The following is a 24,114-nucleotide window of genomic DNA, read 5'->3' as shown; positions in this document are numbered from 1 at the left end:
TTAAGAAGAAACATAGCATGCTTTAGAAATGATGAGAAGACAGACCAAACATGGCCAAATCTAAAAACTGCAAGGGAAAGTAGTACTACATAACATTGATGAGGTAAGCAAGGACTAGGTTTTGTGTAGTGTCATAGGCCATTGTAGTTATTTTGGATTTACCCTAAGATCAATGGTAAAGGAGTGGCACAAAAATCAGACTTTCATTTTTAAATGACAATTCTGGCTACTATTTTAAAAAAAAGATCAGACAGTGAATCTCAAAGTGGGATCTAGGATCTAAAGACTCGGGGTCAAAACTATTTTCATAATAATATCACAATATTTGCCTGTTCCATTTTCATTATTTCATTATCATACAATAGTGTTATTCAGTTTACATGTTTTGATATCATTACTTTCACAGCTAATGGAATGTGTGCTTATATATTCTTATGTTTCAAGTATTTCTCAGTACTAATTCCTGAAAGAGTAAATATTGATAGATATAACCCACACCAACAGAAGTTCTTTTGGGTCCTCAGTAATTTTTAACATGAAAGAGGTACTGAGATTTAAAAAAATTGAGAACTATCAAAATTTACAGCTCAGACAATATGATGGAGTTGAATTAACATGGCAGGGGTAAAGCTTGAAACACATGAATTTCTGAATATTTAGGAGGCAGAAATGACAGTATTCGGTGATGGGTAAGATATATTCATGTATCTTACCATAGTTAAGTTACTTGCATAGTTAAGGTATAAACTGAAAGGGGAGAATCAGATTATTCTTGGGAAGGAACTGCACAGGTGGTGGTGCCCGTCACTAAAATCAGTAACCTAAAGAAGGTTCAGATTTGAAGAGGAAGAGCTTGTGCTCAACTTTGTAAAAGCCAAGTTTGAGGTACTCATTAGTCAAATGAGTCTTTGGAGCTGAAAAATGCCGATAAAAATTTGACAGTTACCAGCCATGGGAGTCATGAGATTGCTCAAGGAGTATATGCAGTGTGAGAAGATTTGAATGGGAACCCTGAGGTACTACAGTATTTAAAGGTTAGGTAAATGGGTGGACACGGTGGCTCACGCCTGTAATTCTAGGACTTTGGGAGGCTGAGGCAGGCAGATCGCTTGAGCTCAGGAGTTCAAGACCAGTCTGGGCAACATGACGAAACCCCATTTTTACAAAAAAATACAAAAATTAGCCAGATGTGGTGATGCACACCTGTAGTCCCAGCTACTTGGGAGGGTGAGGTGGGAGGATTGCTTGAGACTGGAAGGTTGAGGCTGCAGTGATCCTTGATTGTACCACTGCACTCCAGCCTGGGTGAAAATGAGACCCTGTCTCAGGCAGGTGGATCACCTGAGGTCAGGAGTTTTGAGACCAGCCTGGCCAACATGGTGAAACCTTGTATCTACTAAAAATACAAAAATTAGCCGGGCATGGTGGCATGTGCCTGTAATCCCAGCTACTAGGGGGAGCTGAGGCAGGACTGCTTGAACCTGGGAGGCAGAGGTTAAAGTGAGCCGAGATCATGCCACTGCACTCCAGTCTGGGCAACAAACTGAGACTCCATCTCAAAAAAAAAAAAGGGGGGGGTGGAAAGAATATTACAAGGAGCAAGATTAAGTAAGATGAAGACTGAAAAGAATCCACTGGAATTTGTGACATGGAGCTGATTATGTATCAAGTGCTGTTTTCAGCAGAACAACGGTAGTGGAAGACAACTAAAATGCTTGAGGAATAAGTAGGAAGTGAAGACATAAGACAGGAAAGTATAGCCAAGTTTCTATAAAGTTTTGAAAGCACAAGATATTTAAATTCTGATGAGGACACTCTAGTAAATAAAAAAAGAATAAAATACAAGAATAGGGTTAATTTTTATTTATTTTTAACAAGAATAGAGATACAGTGATTGCCAAGAAACACGGGAGACAAGAAAGACCTCGATCCCATTTTATACCATGTAAATGTAAAATCTATTCATATCTCATGGATTTTCTGTTGGGAAGTACCAACATACAGAAGCTGCTTAAGAAAGAGAATATATAATTCAATGCCTGCATCTCCCCTAAATTTTAGTTACTTGCACATTAAAATAATATTTAAGAAACACCCTAAAATTATTTAAGGAAGACAAATGCAATATTGTGAAGATCTCTGGGGAAAGAATCACCTACCCTTGGTCCTCTTCCTTTAATTTTCCTGCCAGATCTAGTAACTAAAAGTCGTCTCTGGTATGAAGCAGGCTGGGAGTTAGGTGGATTACTAGAAGGAAGCAAACAGAAAGTTAACACATTTTTTTAAAAACTTTTGTTGGCCAGACATGTTACTTTAATAAAAATGAATCTGGGCCGGGTGCGGTGGCTCATGCCTGTAATCCCAGCACTTTGGGAGGCCGAGGTGGGCGGATCATGAGGTCAGGAGATGGAGACCATCCTGGCTAACACAGTAAAACCCAGTCTCTACTAAAAATACAAAAAATTAGCTGGGCATGGTGGCTCAAGTGATCTGCCCACCTTGGCCTCCCAAAGTGCTGGGATTATAGGTGTGAGCCACTATGCCTGGCCAAGAATTTTATTACTTGTATTATGACAATGTATTTCTGATCATAACTAAGAAAAATATTTCAATATTCCTTTTTCTACTTTTGGACATAGTTATTATTATTATTATTATTTTTGAGACGGAGTCTCACTCTGTCACCCAGGCTGGAGTGCAGTGCCGTGATCTCGGCTCACTGCAAGCTCCGCCTCCCAGGTTTACTTATGCCATTCTCCTGCCTCAGCCTCCTGAGTAGCTGGGACTACAGGCACCCGCCACCACACCCGGCTAATTTTTTGTATTTTTAGTAGAGATGGGGTTTCACCATGTTAGCCAGGATGGTCTCCATCTCCTGACCTCGTGATCTGCCCGCCTCAGCCTCCCAAAGTGCTGGGATTACAGGCGTGAGCCACTGCGCCCAGCCTGGACATAGTTATTAAAATGACTGATAAAGAACCATTAGCATTACAGATATTAATAATGTAGATTTATGTAGTAAACTTTTTTCAGGATTTGAACATGACATCAATTTTTATTACAATGTTGTAAACCAAGTAAGGAAAACAGCAGTTTTTCCTATTAGACAAACTGAAAAACCAAGATTCTTACTTGCTTAAGAGTTTACTGTACACAAATAACACTATAAAACACTATCTTGTTTTACTGGTTAAAGAGTATCTTGTTATTGGCTTGGAATGCTGCTTAACATCTCTTTTTTGTATTAGTGTTTATTATGTGTAACTTTACTTCAGAACCTACTTGTAATTTAAGTCAATTTCCCTTTCTAGTTATGTGGTTGGCAAAAAAGAACTTTGCGGAAGAACATTTTATAAAAAAGATTTCAATCTTGGGACAAGGTCACCAATTAAATCTTGTTTAAAATAAATAACTTTTTAAAAAGAAAAGTTCTATGGTAAACCATGTAAGGCAAAATATACATATTCACATACCACTCTCTTTCCCTTTCTCTCTCTCTGTTTTTCCTTTCCTTCTCATCAGCTTTAGGAGGACTTTTTCTCATTAGGAATCTATTTTCAGGTATAGGAGGGATCTCTTCTGGACGGACAGTAGACTGGGGTTGTGCTTCAAGATTTTCAGCTTCACTCTCACTAGATGCACTTAACAGACAGAAACACACAAAACAAGTTACAGTTGGTTATTATGTCCTTACGGAAGTATCCAATTGTTGGTATTTCTTTCCTTTATATCACTATAATATAAACATCCTGTCCTTACCAAAGATGTGATCGCATGGGAAAAATCTTCTATTCCTCTGACAAACCAACTAACCAATCAAAAAACAAACAAAACAAAACGTTTCGATTATCACACTCTCAAAAAATATTTTCCTACAAAATGGATAAAAAATATGAAACTATGTGAGCAATGCACTCTGATAAATTTAAAATACTTTAAAACATGGGTAAAGAAATTAACTGCATTTGAGCCATAGGCAGATGAAGACAAGTTTTAGTACAAACACAGATTATTTCAAGCAAAATGGAAAAGAAAGTAAAATACACTGACATTATCTGCTTTCTATCCTTATGCTATCGTAAGAGCAAAGGGGACTGCTACTGAAAATAGGAAAAACAACTGGTGGTTTTCTGCAATTTTCATAAATCCCATAATCCTCCTATAAAACACACAAATCTGTAACACCAAAGCTGTATTATTTCATTGAGTACACAAAAAAATGAACTGATAGGTTTTCTTTCAAAAGAAAATGAACGTACCCAAAATTTAATCTATAGACTGTGGAATATCAAAAGTCCTACGCTCCATGCTATATTTCTCACTATTTTAACAGTTTCATATAATTGACCCAAAATCCTAACAGATTTACAGAAAGGAAATCAGAATATAAAGCTAGCATTAGAAAAGTAAAATTAAGACCTCTTCTTGCTTTTCTTTCGCTTTTTCTTTTCTTTCTTGTGTTTTCGGGAATTTTTCCGATGTTTCTTTTTTCTTTTCTTTGATTTCTCTTCAGTAGCACTTTCGGAATCAGAGGAATCAGAAGAGGACTGAGAATCACTTGAGCTATCTGAGTCACTAGATGAGGAGGAGGAAGATGATGATGATTTATGCCTTTTCTTTTCTTCTTTCTTAACTTTAATAAAAACAAAAAGGTTTTGATCAACAATTTTTAGACAAACTTTGTGGAAGGAGATTTAAATTTTCTGCAGATTCTCACTAAGTTCAGTATTTAGCACTTAGATCATCCAGCTATGTGAACTGGGAAGTACAGGAAAGGAGTCAAGACTCAGGATTAGAGTCCAGATCTCCAGAATTCACTGGTCAAAGTTTTATCTATTAATCCAAAGAACTTTAAAAAATAGGTGAGTCTAAAATGCTAAACTAATGTTAACAAACATCTGAATAAGAATTTTTTTTAAAAGCACAGAATAACAATGAAGAGTCCCATGTTCTAATCTTGTAGTTTTCCACTTTCCCTCTTATTATCAAGATTGGCAGAACTAGTGCAGGGAAATAACAGAAAAACTGCTTTACAGCAACATGGAGAGATAAGAAATGGATTTCACTGGCATGGGCTTATATTTCAGTGCCCAAGCAGTCTTCTAATAATTAAGAAATTTAGCTCAAGAGGAGACTCATAACAGAGGGAAGTCAATTGCCCATGATGAATAGAATGTTTTGGGGACTCTACAAAAAGTCATTTTAAATTGAAATTTTATTTCAGTTAAGGAAGCAGTAACTTTAAAAAGGGTAAAAAAAAAAAAACTCAGAGTTTAAAGGATCAATTAATATAAATAAGTGAAGCTAGAAGGTGTAACATAACAAGAATTAGAAGAAGATACTACAAATTGGGAGGAGCTTGACCCATCTAAAGGTATACTCATTCAAATCATGGTGGATTTGAAGAGGCTAACTGGGGCCAAAGATGGGACAATATTGATATATACATGAGAACTACAATAAATTGAGATATATCAGATTATATTAGAAATACATTAGTTCACAGTGATACTCATAAAGTATAAAGCATTTATCTTGCCTTTGTGGTACAAACTGCACCACTGGCTAATGAAATGAATGAAGGGAAATAGCTCTTTGTCAGAAGCATTCCAGGAATAAATGAAAAAGAAATTATAGTGTTAAAATATCGTTTTACAACTTCTTGTGAGGCACTGATAACCCATGGCTGCTGCAAAACACAGAGACAACTTGTCCTGTGTGACTCCTGTTTTCATTAAAAGGAATTTCAAGTCACAACTGCATCTGATCAACATTACATAACACAGTAAGGACTCAATTAGTAAAATCCAGTATGTTCAATTATAGAAAATGCTACATGACAAATGACCTACCTTTTCTGAGAAATACATTTCAAGGAAACATAAAACAAGATGGTGAGGGAATTTATTAAGAAACAAAACACAACTTACAAGACCAATTTCAATGTCTGAACTTCATTTGGATTGATTCACACAGCAAAAAATTAATTAACATTAATGAAACAATTACAATCTGAACACTGTCAGGATTTTTAGTATTTAGGAATGTGTATGTGTGTATCATTATGGTACTGTTTTTAAGAATCATCTTTTAGAAATAACATTTATTGATAAAATATTATGCCTGGAATTTGTTTCAAAATAATAGGAAAGGGAAAAGTGGCTAGTGATGGGTAAAACAAGATTGGCCATAAATAAACTCCTGAAGCTAGCTAAAGAAAAAGTGTTATATTATTTTATTCACTTGTGTATAAATTAGTATGTTCCACAATAAAAAGTCAAGGAAAACAAAGAAAATATATCTTTGGATTATCTGTTGGTTGTTTGGTTACAGAACCTTAGTTGAAAGGGTTAACAGCTGATTTGTGACCTTTCCTTTAGCCCCACCTTAGCCTCAGGAACATCTGAAGATTTGGTATTTGGAAAATTTATCCTTGCCTTTTTTTTTTTTTTTTTTTTTTTTTTTTTGGAGACAGGGTCTTGCTCTGTTGCCCAGGCTAGAGTGCAGACCATAGCTCACTGCAGTCTTGACCTTCCGGGCTCAAGTGATACTTCTGTCTCGGCCTCCTGAGTAACTGGAAACACAGGTGTATGCCACCATGCCCTGCTAATTTTTTTAATTTTTATTTTTGTAGAGACAAGTTCTCCCCATGTTGCCTAGGCTAGTCTCGAACTCCTGGGCTCAAGGGATCTTCCTGTCTCAACCTCCGTAAGTGTTGGGATTACAGGTGTGGGCTACCATGCCTAACCTTGTTTATTTATGAAGATGGGGTCTTGCTATGTTGCACAGGCTGGCCTCAAACTCCTGGGCTCTAGTAATCCTCTTTCTCTCAGTCTCCTGAGTAGCTAGGACTACAGGCACATGTGCTGCTGTGCCTGAATCATCCTTGAAATTTGTAACTGATAATTTACAGGAATATACTAAACCCAAGATACATGAAAATCTGGCTGAAGTTACTTGTACTTGACCAAGGACTTCTGGTTCACTGTGCAGACTGCTTTTCCAGTACTGATGAGATGTTGCTGCACTTGAGAATGGGAACAAGGTATAAAAGCTGAAGAGACCGTAGATGTAATGGCTTCACTGAACTAAGATAATCCTTCCTTACCCAGTTATGTTTCTAAGGAACAGGTACATTATCAAGTGTGAGATGTTTGGGATATACGCAAGCTGTGCCTGGAAATCATGACAGTGCCTCTATGCTGTTGATGTACCAGCCATGCCGTTTCCTGCCCTATATCCTTTCTTAAGGGTAAGTAATCTTAGTGCCTGGTGAAGCTAATTTTGTCTCACGAGCCCAACTGTTAACCTGAATCCAATACCTATGCTGCTGGTGAGACAGAGTGGGTATGAAAAAACATATAACCTGAAAAATCTACTTATATATGCTAAACTAATAAACCTGAGGGATATGCAGGGGGAAAAAATCAAATTTTAAGGAAATCTAACACAGAAAATAAATTCACAATGAAATAAAAACATAAAATTGTGCAAGCAAAATAAAAATACTACACTTAAACATAAAATATACTTGTTAAAATATGGTAACTCTTTACCCCACAATTAAAAAAGCTTTAATCACCAGTCTGATTTCTATTTATTTTGCACTGAGATTCTTTCCTATGAGAAATACATCACAGTTGATTTACTTTAAAAGCAAGCCCATTTAGTGTTTGAAATTAAAAAAAAAAAAAAAAAAAAAGCAAGCCCACTGGCTAGGGGCATGGCTTCTCACGCCTGTAATTCCAGCACTTTGGGAGGCTGAGCAGGGAGAATCACTTAAGCCTGGGAGGTCGAGGCTGCAGTGAGCCATGATCGCACCACTGCATTCTAGCCTGGGGAACAGAGTGAGAACCTGTCTCCAAAACAACAACAACAAAACACCATACCACACAACAGCAAGCCCACTTACCAAGTGTATTAAATACATTTCATAAACAATTATTTAATTTACATATCACTTTTGAAGAAAACATTCTAGTGAAGCAAGATAACATGATAAAATGAAAAGTCTGGGTGCAGTGGCTCATGCCTGTAATCCCACCACTTTGGGAGGCCAAGGCTAGTGGATCGGTTGAGGTCAGGAGTTCGAGACCAGCCTGGCCAACATGGCAAAACTGTCTCTACTAAAAATACAAAAATTAGCCAAGTGTGGTGGTGCACACGCGTAATCCCAGCTACTAGGGAGGCTGAGGTACGAGAATCGCTTGAACCCCAAAGGTGGAGATTGCAGTAAGCCAAGATTGCACCACTGCAATCCAGCCTGGGAGACAAAGCAAGACTCCTCCTCAAAGTAAATAAATGAAATGGAAGGCCAGAAAGAGATTTATAACTGTTTTTATAGGAATATAATCTGCTCAAGAATCAGAAAACATTAACTATAAGAGGAAAATAGGCCAGGCATGGTGGTGGCTCACACCTGTAATCCTAGCACTTTGGGACACCAAAGCAGGCAGATCACTTGAAGCCAGGGGTTCGAGACCAGCCTGGCCAACATGGTGAAACCCCGCCTCCACTAGAGATACAAAAATTAACCAGGCATGGTGATGGGCGCCTGTAGTTCCAGCTACTCAGAAGGCTAAGGCATGAGAATCACTTGAACCTAGGAGGCAGAGGTTGCAGTGAGCCGAGATTGCACCACTGCACTCCAGCCTGGGCAACAGAGTGAGACTCCGTCCTGATTTAACAAATAAAAAAGCTCTAAGATTAAAAAGTTCAGTGGAGAGTGGTGGCTCACGCCTATAATCCCAGCACTTTGGAAGGCCAAAGCAGGCAGAACACCTGAAGTCAGGAGTTCGAGACCAGCCTGGCCCACATGGTGAACCCGTCTCTACTAAAAATACAAAAATTAGCTGAGTATGGTAGAGGGTATCTGTAATCCCAGCTACTCGGGAGGCTGAGGCAGAGAATCTCTTGAACTGGGAGGCGGAGGTTGCAGTGAGCTGAGATTGCGTCACTGCACTCCAGCCTGGGAGACAGATTGAGACTCCGTTCCAAAAAAATAAAAAATAAAAAGTTCCTCTCTTTTGATATTTGGCAAATTTAATTTATGTTCCTTTTTGTATAAGTCTGCTCAGAAAAAAAATGAGAGAAAATAATTGAGAAAGAGATGGCATTAAAGGACAGAAGGGTAAAAAGGCAAAAAATTGGGAGATATCACAATATCAATATTGATTCTGTAAGACTGTGGCTTGAGTTTCAGAATGTGTGTTAACCTAAATTTTAAAATATGATTAAGGCATATTGAGAATATGATTGAAACTGTATCCTTCTCAAAGTCACAAGTATTATTTAACTGAACAGTATACCAATATACATAGTCAACATAATGTCAGAACATGGAGATGAAGAGCCATGGTCCCTGGTACTGATCCGTGGCCTGTTAGGAACCAGGTCACACAGCAGAAGGTGAGTGGCAGGCAAGCAAGCCTTACCACTGGAGCTCCACCTCCTGTCAGATCAGTGACAGCATTAGATTTTCAGAGGAGCACAAACCCTATTGTGAACTGTGCATACGAGGGATCTAGGCTGAGCACTCCTTATTAAACGCTTATGCCTGATGATCTGAGGTGGAACAGTTTCATCCTGAAACCATCCCCTAAACCCTGATGAAATAAAGACATTTTCAGAAAACTAGAATAATTTTGTCACCAGTAGACCTAACCTTAAAAAAAAAAATTGGTTAAAGGAAGTTCTCCAAAGAGAAAGGAAATAGCAGGAGGAGGCTTGAACTTCAGAAAGGAAGAATAAAAGAATGGTAAATAATAGGCGGTAAAGGAATCAACAATCGGTTCATATAAAAAGAAACATAAATAGCTCTTAAGGAGACACTAACATCACACTCCTCAGAGAAATGCTAATTGAAACTAGCATTTGTTAAAAAAAAAATCCATTAGGCTGGCAAAGGTGAAAGAGTTTACAATAATACGTAGTTTTATACAGGGTGTAGGGCAACTTATCCTCTTATATTCTGGTAGCAGTGTCTACCAAATTACAAATGCATGACCTCTGCAAACTGGCAATTCCATTTCTAGGAAATTCATTCTACAAGATCAACATTCACACACACGTGGAATAATGTACAAAATGTGAGAATGGAAACTCATGGAAAGAGATTTTCACAGATTATCATTTTATACTTTCTGAATTTCGAACCAAATAAATGTATTAAATTTTTAAAACTAGGGTACAAAGTTTCAGTTAAGACAGGAAGAATAAGTTTGTTGAGATCTATTTTCATAGCATGGTGAGAACAGTTAATAATAATGTATTGTACATTTCAAAATTCCTGAGATAATAAATTTCAAATTTCTGACCACAAAAATAGTATTTGAGGTGACAGCTATGTTAAATAGCTTGATTTAATCATTCTGCATTGTATACATGTATCATAACATCACGCTGTATACCATAAATATATACAATAATTTCTCAGTTATAATATTTTCAAATTAAAATTTTAAATTCCGAATACGGCAACAGTTGTTTTCAGCTGACTCTTCAAAAAACCTACTTCCGGCTGGGCGCGGTGGCTCATGCCTGTAATCCCAGCACTCTGGGAGGCCGAGGTGGGCGGATCACGAAGTCAGAAGATCAAGACCATCCTGGCTAACATGGTGAAACCCCATCTCTACTAAAAATACAAAAAGAAATTAGCCGGGCGTGGTGGTGGGCGCCTGTAGTCCTAGCTACTCAGGAGGCTGAGGCAGGAGAATCGCGTGAACCAGGGAGGTGGAGCTTGCAGTGAGCCGAGAACGCACCACTGCACTCCAGCCTGGGTGACAGAGCGAGACTCCATCTCAAAAACAAACAAACAAAACCCTACTTCCTAACTACTTACACAAAATTGATTTCAGCGTTTCTTTTAATGGCATGTAAGTATCGTTAAGGTAAAATGAAATAGCACTAAAAGCAAAAACCACAATGCAAGTTAAGAATCATAGTGGATGAAAAAGAATTACAAAGAGTAATAACACTTTCAACTTGGGCCATTTCTGGTTAATTAGTTTAGATTACGCAGTTTGCTTATTATTAAGTAGAATGATTTCCCAAACTTCTTCACTGACCTTTACTTGGGGGTATGGTGTGATGTAACCTTATCAATTAGTCATTTAACTTACTAGTATAATATTAAGGTTAAAAACCAAATTCCATAGCTCATATCTGTAATCCCAGCACTTTGGTAGGTCAAGTTAGAAGGATCGCTTGAACCAGGAATTTGAGACCTGCCTGGGCAACATAGCGAGACCTTGTCTCCACCAAAAATACAAAAATTAGCCAGGTGTGGCAATGCACACCTGTAGTCCCAGCTATTTGGAAGGCTGAGGTGGGAGAATTGACTGAACCCAGGAGTTCGAGGTTGCAGTGAACTATGACTGCACCACTGCACTCCAGCCTGGCAACAGAACAAGACAGTCTCAAAAAAACAAAACAAAACCAGAAATAACTCCAGAATATTTTATTTGTAAAAACCTAAGGTAACAAAATGCTGCTTTGTTTTTTATTTGAGACCCACAGATTTTACACCAATAAATTTCACTTGAAATCTTGAAAATGAAGGAAATTCTGAAATCACCATCAAAATAAGATTTGAAATAAAGAACAAAAGTATTCCTAAAATGGTCTTTAGACAATTTCATTTCACATTATGGGTTGCATCTCCTAAACCGTTTCTAAGTTTAACATCTCACTATTTTCCAATAAAAGTGCCAAAATTACTTTCAGAATAAGGACACTGAAATGGGACCCTGTCACCATAGAAATGAATCTCTAGTGTTCCTCTTCACTTGTCTCCTGAGTACAAGATTCACCAGCTGCTTCCTCTATTGTGCTATTTGTTCTGTATTGTCAGGCAATCTGCCTCCTCCCATTTCTTCTCATACAACTACTTACCGCCATGTTGCCACAACTCTGTTCTTGTGTTTCTGTGTACTATGTAACATAGCAATCCTCTCATCTCTTAGTTTCATTATTGGTACGCTAAGCTTGTGGGAGTTATGTATATCCTACTTCTCAAGGTCATTGCCAAGATCTGATTTTTCACACAAAAAACTTGCAACCTCCGGCATAAATGGGTTAACAACTGCAGTGAACTCTGAATTGAACAGCATGATCTGAGGTCACGTCAGCTCCTGAAAAACTAGGAAATATCTTAATCAAGGTACTGGTCTGTGTTCTATCCTCCACTCTGACTTTTGACAGCCCTTTGCTGAGCCTCTACAGGGGATGCAGCTTTTATTAGCTTCCAGTGTTCCATCTCTGCATCTGCTGGAAGGTTTTTCTCCTTGACTTTGAATTTTCTCTGGCACACTCAAATAGTCACAAAAAGAAGGATCTCCAATCTCAAAATTGCAAAGAGAGAAAGGCCCAGGAAGATTGATTGCCCAGACTCCCCAAGAACACATATAGATGGACCAAGACTGTCAGATTTCTTCAGAAGTCTTTTTGTTTTCTTTCAGGAAGTTAAAAAAAACAGGTGTAAATCTCTCATACAAGGTTTTAAATATAATGATGATAAATACCACAGTGTTACAATGCTTTTTGACTGTTCCCAATTAATTAAGAAGGCCATCAAACTTACTAAGTGGATGTAAGATATAGCTCTGCTTATATGTAAGATGCATGACAAAATCTACTCTGACCAATGTTCTGAATGGTAACTGAAGGATTATGGAATAACAGGGGCCCAAGTGTGTGTTTTCAAACTAAAGATCTTTTCCTCTTTTCACAGTGTGATTCAGAACAGAGTAGCCATTGGAAGTCTGGCTCAAAACAAATCTGACCTTTTAGAAACTCCTGGGCAGATACATATTAATAAAGGGCCAAATCTCAGATTGCTGAAACTGATAAGGGCAAGGTATGCTAGGTTAGCATGAGTTTGAGGGACATACAGTTGGATGTTACATCAACTTTTAGCACAACTTCCTGGCCCCAATGGCATGGGCAAAACCATCATTTATTTCTTCAGATGACAATGCATTATAAAGATGTAAGTAATATATAAAGAGCTACATTCATTTACTTCCTCCTTTAGGCAAATATTCAAGTACTGCCCTTTTAGTACCAAAAGAATCTTTACAACAAATTTATTAGAGAGTCTATGATTACTGTTTATGGTTTAAAATGCAAACTTCTTTTTTTTTATTTTTAGTAGAGACAGGGTTTCACCATGTTGGCCAGGCTGGTCTCGACCTCCTGACCTCAAGTGATCCGTCCACCTCGGCCTCCCAAGGTGTTGGGATTACAGGCGTAAGCCAGAGCCTGGCCAAAAACTCTTTTATTACCTCAATCTCTTTCTGAACATATAAACCACGCAGCATCCTTAACTTTATTTATTTATATATTTTTTAGAGATGGGGCCTTGTTGTGTCACCCAGGCTATAGCCTTCAACTCCTGGGCTCAAGTGATCCTCCTGCCTCAGCCTCCCAAGTAGCAGGGACTACACATGGTTAATTAAAAAAAAATTTTTTTTTTTTTTGGTAGGGAAGAGTCCCACAATGTTGCCCAGGCTGGTCTGAAACTCCTGGGCTCAAGCGATCCTCCTGCTTCAGTCTCACAAAGTGCTGGGATTACAGGTGTCAGCCACCGTGCCTGGCCACTTAACTTTTATAAGGAGGCAACAGATCCTAACACAAGTGTCCTTAAAGACTAAAATATTAAAAAAAAAAAAAATTAGTTGTCAAGTAGAGAATAAATGATGAAGATTTTCTAGATGACTTGGGAAGAATAATGCCTTAACCTAAAATATTCCTACTGTACTAAAAACACTCTAAAGTTTAAACATCAGTAGGTTCAGGGTTTAGAGTAACAAACATCATTACAGATTTTTTTTATTTTTAGTATTTTTTAATGTAAATAATTGCATTTGTAGAATATTACTCAAAGATTCTCAACATCTTGTTTTTTACTGAATCTTCAAGAAAAAAGGCATACATTACACCTGTTGTTTGTAAATAAGGATAGCCAGTCTCATGTACATCAAGAAATCCCATGAGCTGAAGCATACATCTGCAATAATTTATTGCAATAACTTACCTGTGAATATTTATTTGACATCACATGGAAGAAAATAAAATTAGCAGACTCAAAATGGAATGCAGACAAAAAAAATTTTTTTAAATAATCATTTTGCCTTCTCCATGCCCATCTCGGATGTTTTAAAATTAAAACAAAACAAAATGTACCTGTTTCTAAATATTATAGAGGAAATCAGTGTACCTAGAAGGTGAGATGAGAATCATCTACTTAGGGCAATTCTTAAGAAATTTTAAGGACATTTAAACTTTAATGAGTCAGTAACATATAACAGAAAAAGTTCTAATTCTCGAACTTGGGTTTGAGGTCTCTTTTCCTGACACAGTAAAGAACTTAATCTTCTTGACTATCTTTGTCTGTAAAATAGGGATATGTAATACTATAGAGTTACTGTGAGAATCAGAAAGCATTACAGATGACTCTCACATGTGCTAACTCTAAGAAACTAATTACTGATATTATTATTCCCTAGATTAGTAAGAACAGAGTCAGTTTAAGGTTTTACTACTTTCTATACAGGTTTGAAGGTAATCTCACTCCATTACTTTTAGAATGTCAAGCCCATTATCTGTAATAAAATAGTATCAGCCACATATTTCAAATATAAAGACTTAAAATATTTAAAGTTCTTACCATTTCAGACAATATATCAAATTAGTCATGTCAGCATCAAATGGTCTCGTCTAAATAAAAGAAGTTTCTCAAACATGTTGGATGCTTCTGAATCTAAGTAGTGCTTAAAGAAAAAATAATTTATTCCCTTAAAGTTTCCTAATCTATCTTCCTCTCTTGAATTGCCATCTAGCCCCAGAGTCTCTTCCTCCAGAGTATTTATTTACTAGGTTATTTAGACAACTACAGTTAAAAAACAAACAAAAAACAACAACAACAAAAACTCAGTGGAAGCAAAAGGGCAAATTATTGCAAATTAATAATCAGAAAAAGTTAACTGACTTCATGGTAAATGAAGAAAATGAGAAGTAGGATAAAACAGTTAAAAAAACAAAATTGCCAAGAACACACAATGGGGAAAGGACAGTCTCTTCAATAAACGGTGTTGGAACAACTAGATATCCACATGTAAAAAAATAAAATCAGACCCTTATAATGCATATAAAAATCAACTAAAAATGGTTTAATGACTTAAACATAAGACTTGCAACTGTAAAACCACTAAAAGAAAACACACGGAAAAAGCTCCATGACATTGGTTTGGGCAATGATTTTTCTGGATATGACCCCAAAACCACAGGCAACAAAAAGCAAAAATAAGACAAATGGGATAACATCAAACTAACAGGGTTCTGCACAGCCAAAGAAACAATCAACAGAGTGAAGATACAACCTCTGGAATGGGAGAAAATATTTGCAAACCATACATCTGACAACGGGTTAATATCCAAAATATATAAGGAATGCAAACAACTCATCAGCAAGAAAACAACCTGATTTAAAAATGGGAAAAGAATCTGAAGAGATATTTCTCAAACGAAGACATACAAATGGCCAACAGGTATATGGCAAAAATGCTCAATGTCACTAAACATCAAAGGAATGCAAATTAAAACTACACTGAGATAGCACTTCACACCTGTTACAATGGCTATTATAAAAAAAAAAGAAAACAAGGGAGAGGATGTGAAGAAAAGGACACTCTTGTAAACTGTTGGTGGGAATGTAAATCGGTACAGCCATTATTAGAAAACCGAATGAAGTCTCCTCAAAAAATCAAAAACAGAAAGAGGGCATTACATAATGGTAAAGGGATTAATGCAATAAGAAGAGCTAACTATCCTAAATATATATGCACCAATACAGGAGCACCCAGATTCATAAAGCAAGTTCTTAGAGACCTACAAAGAGACTTAGACTCCCACACAATAATAATGGGAGACTTTAACACCCCACTGTCAATATTAGACAGATCAATGAGACAGAAAATTAACAAGGATATTCAGGATTTCAACTCAGCTCTGGTCCAAGTGGACCTAATAGACATCTACAGAACTCTCCACCCCAAATCAACAGAATATACATTCTTCTCAGCACCACAGTGCACTTATTCTAAAATTGACCACATAATTGGAAGTAAAACACTCCTCATCAAGTGCAAAAGAATGGAAATCCTAACAGTCAAGTCTCTCAGACCACAGTGCAATCAAATTGGAACTCAAGATTAAGAAACTCACTCAAAACTGCACAATTACATGGAAACTGAACAACCTGCTCCTAAATGACTACTGGGTAAATAACGAAATTATTTTAAGTTCTTTGAAACCAATGAGAACAAAGACACAACGTACCAGAATCTCTGGGACACAGCTAAAGTAGTGTTTCGAGGGAAATTTATAGCACTAAATGCCCACAAGAGAAAGCAGGAAAGATCTAAAATGGACACCCTAACATCACAATTAAAAGAACTAGAGAAGCAAGAGCAAACAAATTTCAAAAGCTAGCAGAAGCTAGCAGAAGACGAGAAATACCTAAGATCAGAGCAGAACCGAAGGAAATAAGAGAAACAAAAAACCCTTTAAAAAAAAAAAAATCAATGAATCCAGAAGCTGGTCTTTTGAAAAGTTTAACAAAATAGATTCTGGCCAGATGTCTGCTAGCCAGACAAAGAAGAAAAGAGAGAAGAATCAAATAGACACAATAAAAAATGATAAAGGGGAGATCACCACTGATCCCATAGAAATACAGACTACCATCAGAGAATACTATGAACACCTCTACACAAATACACTAGAAAATCTAGAAGAAATGGATAAATTCCTAGACACATACACCCTTCCAAGACTAAACCAGGAAGAAGTCGAATCCCTGAATAGACCAATAACAAGTGCTGAAATTGAGGCAGTAATTAACAGACTACCAACCAAAAAAAGCCCAGGACCAGATGGATTCACAGCTAAATTCTACCAGAGGTACAAAGAGGAGCTGGTACCATTCCTTCTGAAACTATTCCAAACAATAGAAAAAGGGGGACTCCTCCCTAACTCATTTTATGAGGCCAGCATCATCCTGATACCAAAGCCTGGCAGAGACACAACAAAAAAAGAAAATTTCAGGCCAATATCCCTGATGAACATTGATGGGAAAATCCTCAATAAAATACTGGCAAATCAAATCCAGCAGCACATCAGAAAGCTTATCCACCACGATTAAGTCAGCTTCACCTCTGGGATGCAAGAATGGTTCAACATACATAAATCAATAAACGTAATCTATCACATAAACAGAACCAGTGACAAAAACCACACAATTATCTCAATAGATGTGGAAAAGGCCTTTGATAAAATTCAACAGCTCTTCATGCTAAAAACTCTCAATAAACTAGGTATTGAGGGAACACATCTCAAAATAATAAGAACTATTTATGACAAACCCACAGCTAATACATACTGAATGGACAAAAGCTGGAAGCGTTCCCTTTGAAAACTGGCACAAGACAAGGATGCCCACTCTCACCTCTTCTATTCAACATAGTATTGAAAGTTCTGGCCAGGGCAATCAGGCAAGAGAAAGAAATAAAGGGTATTCACATAGGAAGAGAGGAAGTCAAATTGTCTCTGTTTGCAGATGACATGATTGTATATTTAGAAAACCCCATCGTCTCAGCCCCATATCTCCTTAAGCTGATAAGCAACTTCAGCAAAGTCTCCGGATACAAAATCAATGTGCAAAAATCACAAGCATTCCTATACACCAATAACAGACAGAGAGTCAAATCATGAGTGAACTCCCATTCTCAATTGCTACAAAGAGAATAAAAAACCTAGGAACACAACTTACACGGGATGTGAAGGACCTCTTCAAGGAGAACTACAAACCACTGCTCAAGGAAATAAGAGAGGACACAAATGGAAAAACATTCCATGCTCATGGATAGGGAGAATCAATATCGTAAAAATGGCCATACTGCCCAAAGTAATTTATAGATTCAATGCTATCTCCATCAAGCTACAACTGACTTTCTTCACAGAATCAGAAAAAAACTGCTTTAAATTTCATATGGAACCAAAAAAGAGCCTGTATAGCCAAGACAATCCTAAGGAAAAGGAACAAAGTTGGAGGCATCATACTACCTGACTTCAAACTATACTGCAAGGCTACAGTAACCAAAACAGCATGGTACTGGTACCAAAATGGATATATAGACCAATGGAACAGAACAGAGGCCTCAGAAATAACGCCACACATCTACAACCATCTGATCTTTGACAAACCTGACAAAAACAAGAAATAGGGAAAGGATTCCTATTTAGTAAATGGTGTTAGGAAACTGGCTAGCCATATGCAGAAAACTGAAACTGGACCCCTTCCTTACACCTTATACAAAAATTAACACAAAAATTAACTCAAGAGATAGATTAAAGACTTAAACATAAGACCTAAAACCATAAAAACCCTAGAATAAAACCTAGGCAATACCATTCAGGACACAGGCATGGGCAAAGAATTCATGACTAAAACACCAAAAACAATGGCAACAAAAGCCAAAATTGACAAATGGGATTTAATTAAACTAAAGAGCTTCTGCACAGCAAAAGAAACTATCATCAGAGTGAACAGGCAACCTATAGAATGGGAGAACATTTTTGCTATCTATCCATCTGACAAAGGGCTAATATCCAGAATCTATAAAGAACTTAAACAAATTTACAAGAAAAAAACAAACCACCCCATCAAAAAGCGGGCAAAGGATACGAACAGACACTTCTCAAAAGAAGACATTTATGTGGCCAACAAACATGAAAAGAAAAAAGCTCATCATCACTGGTCATTAGAGAAAAGCAAATCAAAACCACAATGAGATACCATCTCACGCCAGTTAGAATGGTGATTAAAAAGTCAGGAAACAACAGATGCCGGAGAGGATGTGGAGAAATAGGAACACTGTTATACTGTTGGTGGGAGTGTAAATTAGTTCAACCATTGTAGAAGACAGTGTGGCGATTCCTCAAGGATCTAGAACCAGAAATACCATTTGGCACAGCAATCCCATTACTAGGTATATACCCAAAAGATTATAAATCATTCTTCTATAAAGACACATGCACACATATGTTTACTGCAGCACTATTCAAAATACAAAGACCTGGAACCAACCCATATGCCCATCAATGATAGACAGGATAAAGAAAATGTGGCACATATACACCATGGAATACTATGCAGCCATAAAAAAGGATGAGTTCATGTCCTTTTCAGGGACATGGATTAAGCTGGAAACCATCATTCTCAGCAAACTAACACAGGAACAGAAAACCAAACACTGCATGTTCTCACTCAAAAGTGGAAGTTGAACAATGAGAACACATGTACACACGGAGAGGAACATCACACACCAGGGTCTGTCTGCAGGTAGGGGGTCTAGGGGAGGGATAGCATTAGCAGAAATACCTAATGTAGATGACGGGCTGATGGGTTCAGCAAATCACCATGGCATGTGTATACCTATGTAATAAACCGGCATGTTCTGCACATGTATCCCAGAACTTAAAGTATAATAATAAAATTAAAAATAGAACTTCTATATGATCCAGAAATCCCACTACTGGGTATATATCCAAAGGAAATGAGATCAGTGTGTTGAAGAGATATCTCACTCTCATGTTCACTGCTGCATTATTCACAATAGCTAAGATACTGAATCAACCTGTTTCCACCAACAGATGAACGGATTTTTTAAAAATGTGGTTTATATACACAATGGAATACTATTCAGCCTGTCATCTGGAGCAACATGAATGAACCCAGAGGAAGTTATGTTATATGAAATAGGCCAGGCACAAAAGGACGAATACCATATGAACTCACTTACATGTGGAATCTAAAAACGTTGAAGTCACAGAAGTACAGAGAAGAATGGTGGTTCCCATGGGATTAGAGAAGGAAATGTGTTGGACAAATGTTGGTAAAGGATATAAAATTTCAGTTAGCTCAGAGGAATGAGTTCAAGAATTCTACTGTATAACATGATGACTATAGCTAATAACAATGTACTGTATTCTTGAAAATCACTGGCCAGGTGCAGTGGCTCACACCTGTAATCCCAGCACTTTGGGGGGCCAAGGCAGGCGGATCACAAAGTCAGGAGTTCGAGACCAGCCTGGCCAATATGGTGAAACCCCATCTCCACTAAAAATACAGAAGTTAGCTGGGTGTGGTGGTGGGCGCTTGTAGTCCCAGCTACTTGGGAGGCTAAGGCAGGAGAATTGCTTCAACCCGGGAGACGGAGGTTGCAGTGAGCCAAGATCATGCCACTGCACTCCAGCCTGGGTGACAGAGTGAGACTCTGTCTCAAAACAAACAAACAAACAACAAAAAAAAAACCCAAAACCACTAAGATTTTAAGTGTTCTTCTCACCACAAAAAGGGGTAATTATGTGAGGCAATAAATGTTAATTAGCTCAATTTAGCCATTCCACAACATATACATACTTCAAAACATCATATTGTTCACAGTAAGTATACACAAGTTTTGTCAACTTAAAAAAGTAAAAAATAAAAGCACAGAAATACATTTTAAAACAAAAACCTCATTTTTCTTTCAGCTTGAGTATGAATTTCATGTCAACTATTTAGAGTATCTCTGCTTATTTTGTATGTGTAAGTATTCTCAGAAATATGTACTTCCTTTTTACCTTTAGATTTGGGAATCAGCTCTCCACAACTGAGTATCCGTACCTCCGCAAACGGTTTGCTAGCTGCATCTGTTTTCTGGTTTTCAATCTCTCTTACAACTTCTTGACCAGAGATTACTTGTCCAAAAACAACATGATGCCTAAAGTGTCAAGTAAAAAATTATTAAATAAAAGCTTTTTATTTCAAGGTTAATTTAAAACAGGTTGTAAAATAAATAAAATAATATTTACCCATCTAAATGAGGAGTTGGTTTCGTTGTTCTTTTGGAAATCATCAGATAGAAGAATAAAAACAAAGTCAGAGAAAAACAAAGTTAGCATCTCTAAAAAGAAAAAGAAAATAACTGTATTGGAAACAAAGTTGAAAACAAAGACATCAACTGCTATCTTAATATAATCATATTACCTCAATCTTAAGTAGAACAGAAGGCAAAATGCTTTCCACATAATGTATTTATCAAACTTGTTCTAATTATAAAAGCAATATCTACTTACTGCTGAAAACTTTTATGTAACTAAAATAGACATTTCAGTGTTATTTCTAACCATTCATGTTTCTTGCACTTGAGTTCTTACTGAATAGTCATAATTGTATAATGTTCTACATGTAGACATATCAAAATTTATGAAACAATTCCACCAGTGTTTGAGTTTAACAATAATGCTTTTCAATCTTAACATTTTAAACAGTTAAGCACGGGCTATATTCTTATGATCCTCAGACATATACTGTTGGACTTGAACAGAAATGGTTCATATCGTGTTTACAAGTTTTTTTTGTTTTTATTTTTTTGATTTGGAGACAGGGTCTCATGCTGTTGTCCAGGCTGCAGTGCACTGGCACAACCTTGGTTCACTGCATCCTGAACATTCTGGGCTCAAGCTATCCTCCTGCCTCAGCATCCCAAGTAGCTGGGACTATAGGTGCATGCCAGCATGCCTGGCTAATTTTTGTATTTTTTGTAGAGACAGGTCTCACTATGTTGCCCAGGCTGGTCTCAAACCTGGGTTCAAGCGATCCTCCCACTTTGACCTTTCAAAGTGCTGGGATTACAAGTATGAGTCATTGCCCCGCTGAGAGTTTACAAGTTTTTTAATTAGCTGCAAGAGATCTGGATTAGGAGTTGGGAAAAAAAATTAAAATAAGCATTTTTTGGCAAACGAAATTATTTTTAAAAAATCCCACTCCCCACCATCAACCTTAAAGCTATGTAGGTAAAAAGGTTGCTACTTGAATACGTACTAAAAACACTGGTATGAAAATTAAAGATTAGCATTTTATAAGATTTTTTATTTTTAAAAAACCTTATCAAAAAGCTATTAGAAATTCGAAAAAAGGAGCATAATTTATGCTAATCTTTGGTGAAAGCATGTACAATACCACTGAAAAAATTATAACATATAGCTGAATTTTTAGGTTTACCTAATTATAAAATTAATGACCTGCTATTGTTTCCTCATTGTGACACTATGCTCACTTCAACTCACTAAAATCACCTAGAAATGTAAAAACCTAGGTGTACACTATGTGTATTCATATAACATGTTATAGTCACAATGCATATATATGATTTGCATTTAGATATAGTTGATCCTCACTTCACTGATAACTTTATTTGCAAGTCTGCCTGCTCACTAAAACTTATTTGTAATCCCAAAATTAAAAAATTACAGCTTGTGGTGCTTTCATGGTAATTTACAGATACACATAGTGTGGCAAATAAGTGTGCTGGGCAAGGATGTGGAAAAATAAATAACTCCTGTACATTGCTAACGGGAATGTAGAATGGTGCAACCACTATGGAAAACAGTATGGAAGTTCCTCACAAAGCTAAACAGAGTATTAGCATATAACCCACCAATTCACTCCTAGGTATATATTCAAAAGAACTAAAAAAAGAAACTCAAATGCCAATGCTCACTGCAGCAGTATTCACAATAGCCAAAATGTGAAAACAAGTCAAATGTCCACTAACAGATGAATCAAAAAATGTGGTATATACATATAGTGGAATATTACACAGCCATAAAAAATGGACTTCATGCCAGGTGCAGTGGCTCACGTCTGTAATCCCAGCAGTTTGGGAGGCCAAGGCGGGTGGATCATGGGGTCAGGAGATCGAGACCATCCTGGCTAACACGGTGAAACCCCGTCTCTACTAAAAATACAAAAATTAGCCAGGCGTGGTGACAGGCGCCTGTAGTCCCAGCTACTGGGGAGGCTGAGGCAGGAGAATGGCGTGAACCCGGGAGGTGGAGCTTGCAGTGAGCCGAGATTCTGCCACTGCACTCCAGGCTGGGCAACAGAGCAAGATTCTGTCTCAAAAAAAAAAAAAAAAAAAAAATGGAGTTCTGATACATGTTACAATATAAATAAACCTTGGAAACATTTTTAAGTGAAACAAGCCAGATACAAAAGGACAAAAATTGTGGAATTCCACTTAAATAAAATATGCGGAACAGGCAAATTCATAGAGGTTACCAGGGATTGGGGGAAAGGGGAAATGGTACAGAGTCTCTGCAACAATGAAACAATTCTGGAAATAGTGGTGATGGTTGTACAACACTGTGAATACACATGACTCACTAGGCCCAGTGGCTCACACCTATAACCCCAGCACTTTGGGAGGCTGAGGCGGTAGGATCACTTGAGCCTAGGAGTTTGAGGCCGCAGTGAGCTATGATTGTGCCACTGCACTCTAGCTTGGGCAACAGAGCAAGACTCTGTCTCAAATAAATAAATAAATAAATAGCTATAAACAAGACTGAATTGTACACTTACAAATGGTTAAAATGGCAAATCTTCTATATGTTATAGTACAAAAAAATTTTTTTTAAGACTGAAGCTCTCTAAAAATTGAAGTTATTTCCTTTAAAAAACAGAACACAGAAGAAGGGTTACCTACGAAATAGGAAGATATAAGGAGTAACAAACATTTAGAGGGAAGATTCTGAGAATATATATATGAAGGATTATATGAACTTAACATAGGAGTTTTGGTTAGTGCAGGAAAGATTTTATTTAAAAGAGGAAAATAAATTATAATACTCTGTTGAGAATGTGGTGAAATTAGCATTTACATACTACTGGTGCTACAGTAAACTATCCTTTCCTTTTGAAAATCAACATAACAATATATATGAAAAGGCTTAAAAATGTGTAAATAGTTCATTAAGTAAACTTCTTAAATATTAAAACTGCATCAAATGATAGGCACAACAATGTTCATTGGAGCAGTTTGAAAAACAGGAAGCAAACCAAATGTCCCAAAATAAGATTAATAATGCACAGTACTTTCAAGCAAGAGATTAACATGTAGCCATTAAAAAGCTAATATTTAGTGATGTGCAGAGATTTATATTATAGCCAAAAGTTGACTATAGAACGACACTCTACAAACATTTTTAATGCACAGAAAGATGCTCTGGGAA

At 37.1% G+C, this 24,114-nt stretch overlaps 1 protein-coding gene across 4 annotated transcripts in view; it reads right to left on the bottom strand.

Annotated features, from left to right (window-relative positions):
* The window catches only part of PPIG (peptidylprolyl isomerase G), a 57,056-nt gene that overhangs the window by 6,000 nt on the left and 26,942 nt on the right, over positions 1 to 24,114 (bottom strand). For 3 of the 4 annotated variants that reach the window (XM_005246967.2, NM_004792.3, XM_005246966.3), the window contains exons 8-12: positions 20,914 to 20,943; positions 20,683 to 20,822; positions 4,420 to 4,633; positions 3,474 to 3,641; positions 2,160 to 2,247 (exon numbers count right to left, since the gene is read on the bottom strand). In XM_005246967.2, the coding sequence (XP_005247024.1) occupies positions 2,160 to 2,247; positions 3,474 to 3,641; positions 4,420 to 4,633; positions 20,683 to 20,822; positions 20,914 to 20,943 (640 nt within the window). Of the gene's footprint in view, positions 1 to 2,159; positions 2,248 to 3,473; positions 3,642 to 3,759; positions 3,809 to 4,419; positions 4,634 to 20,682; positions 20,823 to 20,913; positions 20,944 to 24,114 lie in introns of those variants that run through there. The other variant, XM_017005302.3, reaches the window with a different exon arrangement.

Source organism: Homo sapiens, chromosome 2 (assembly GCF_000001405.40).
Source record: "Homo sapiens chromosome 2, GRCh38.p14 Primary Assembly".
NCBI classification, from domain to species: domain Eukaryota; kingdom Metazoa; phylum Chordata; class Mammalia; order Primates; family Hominidae; genus Homo; species Homo sapiens.
Note: the sequence above shows the minus strand (reverse complement) of the source record. Positions and strands in the feature narration are given on the sequence as shown.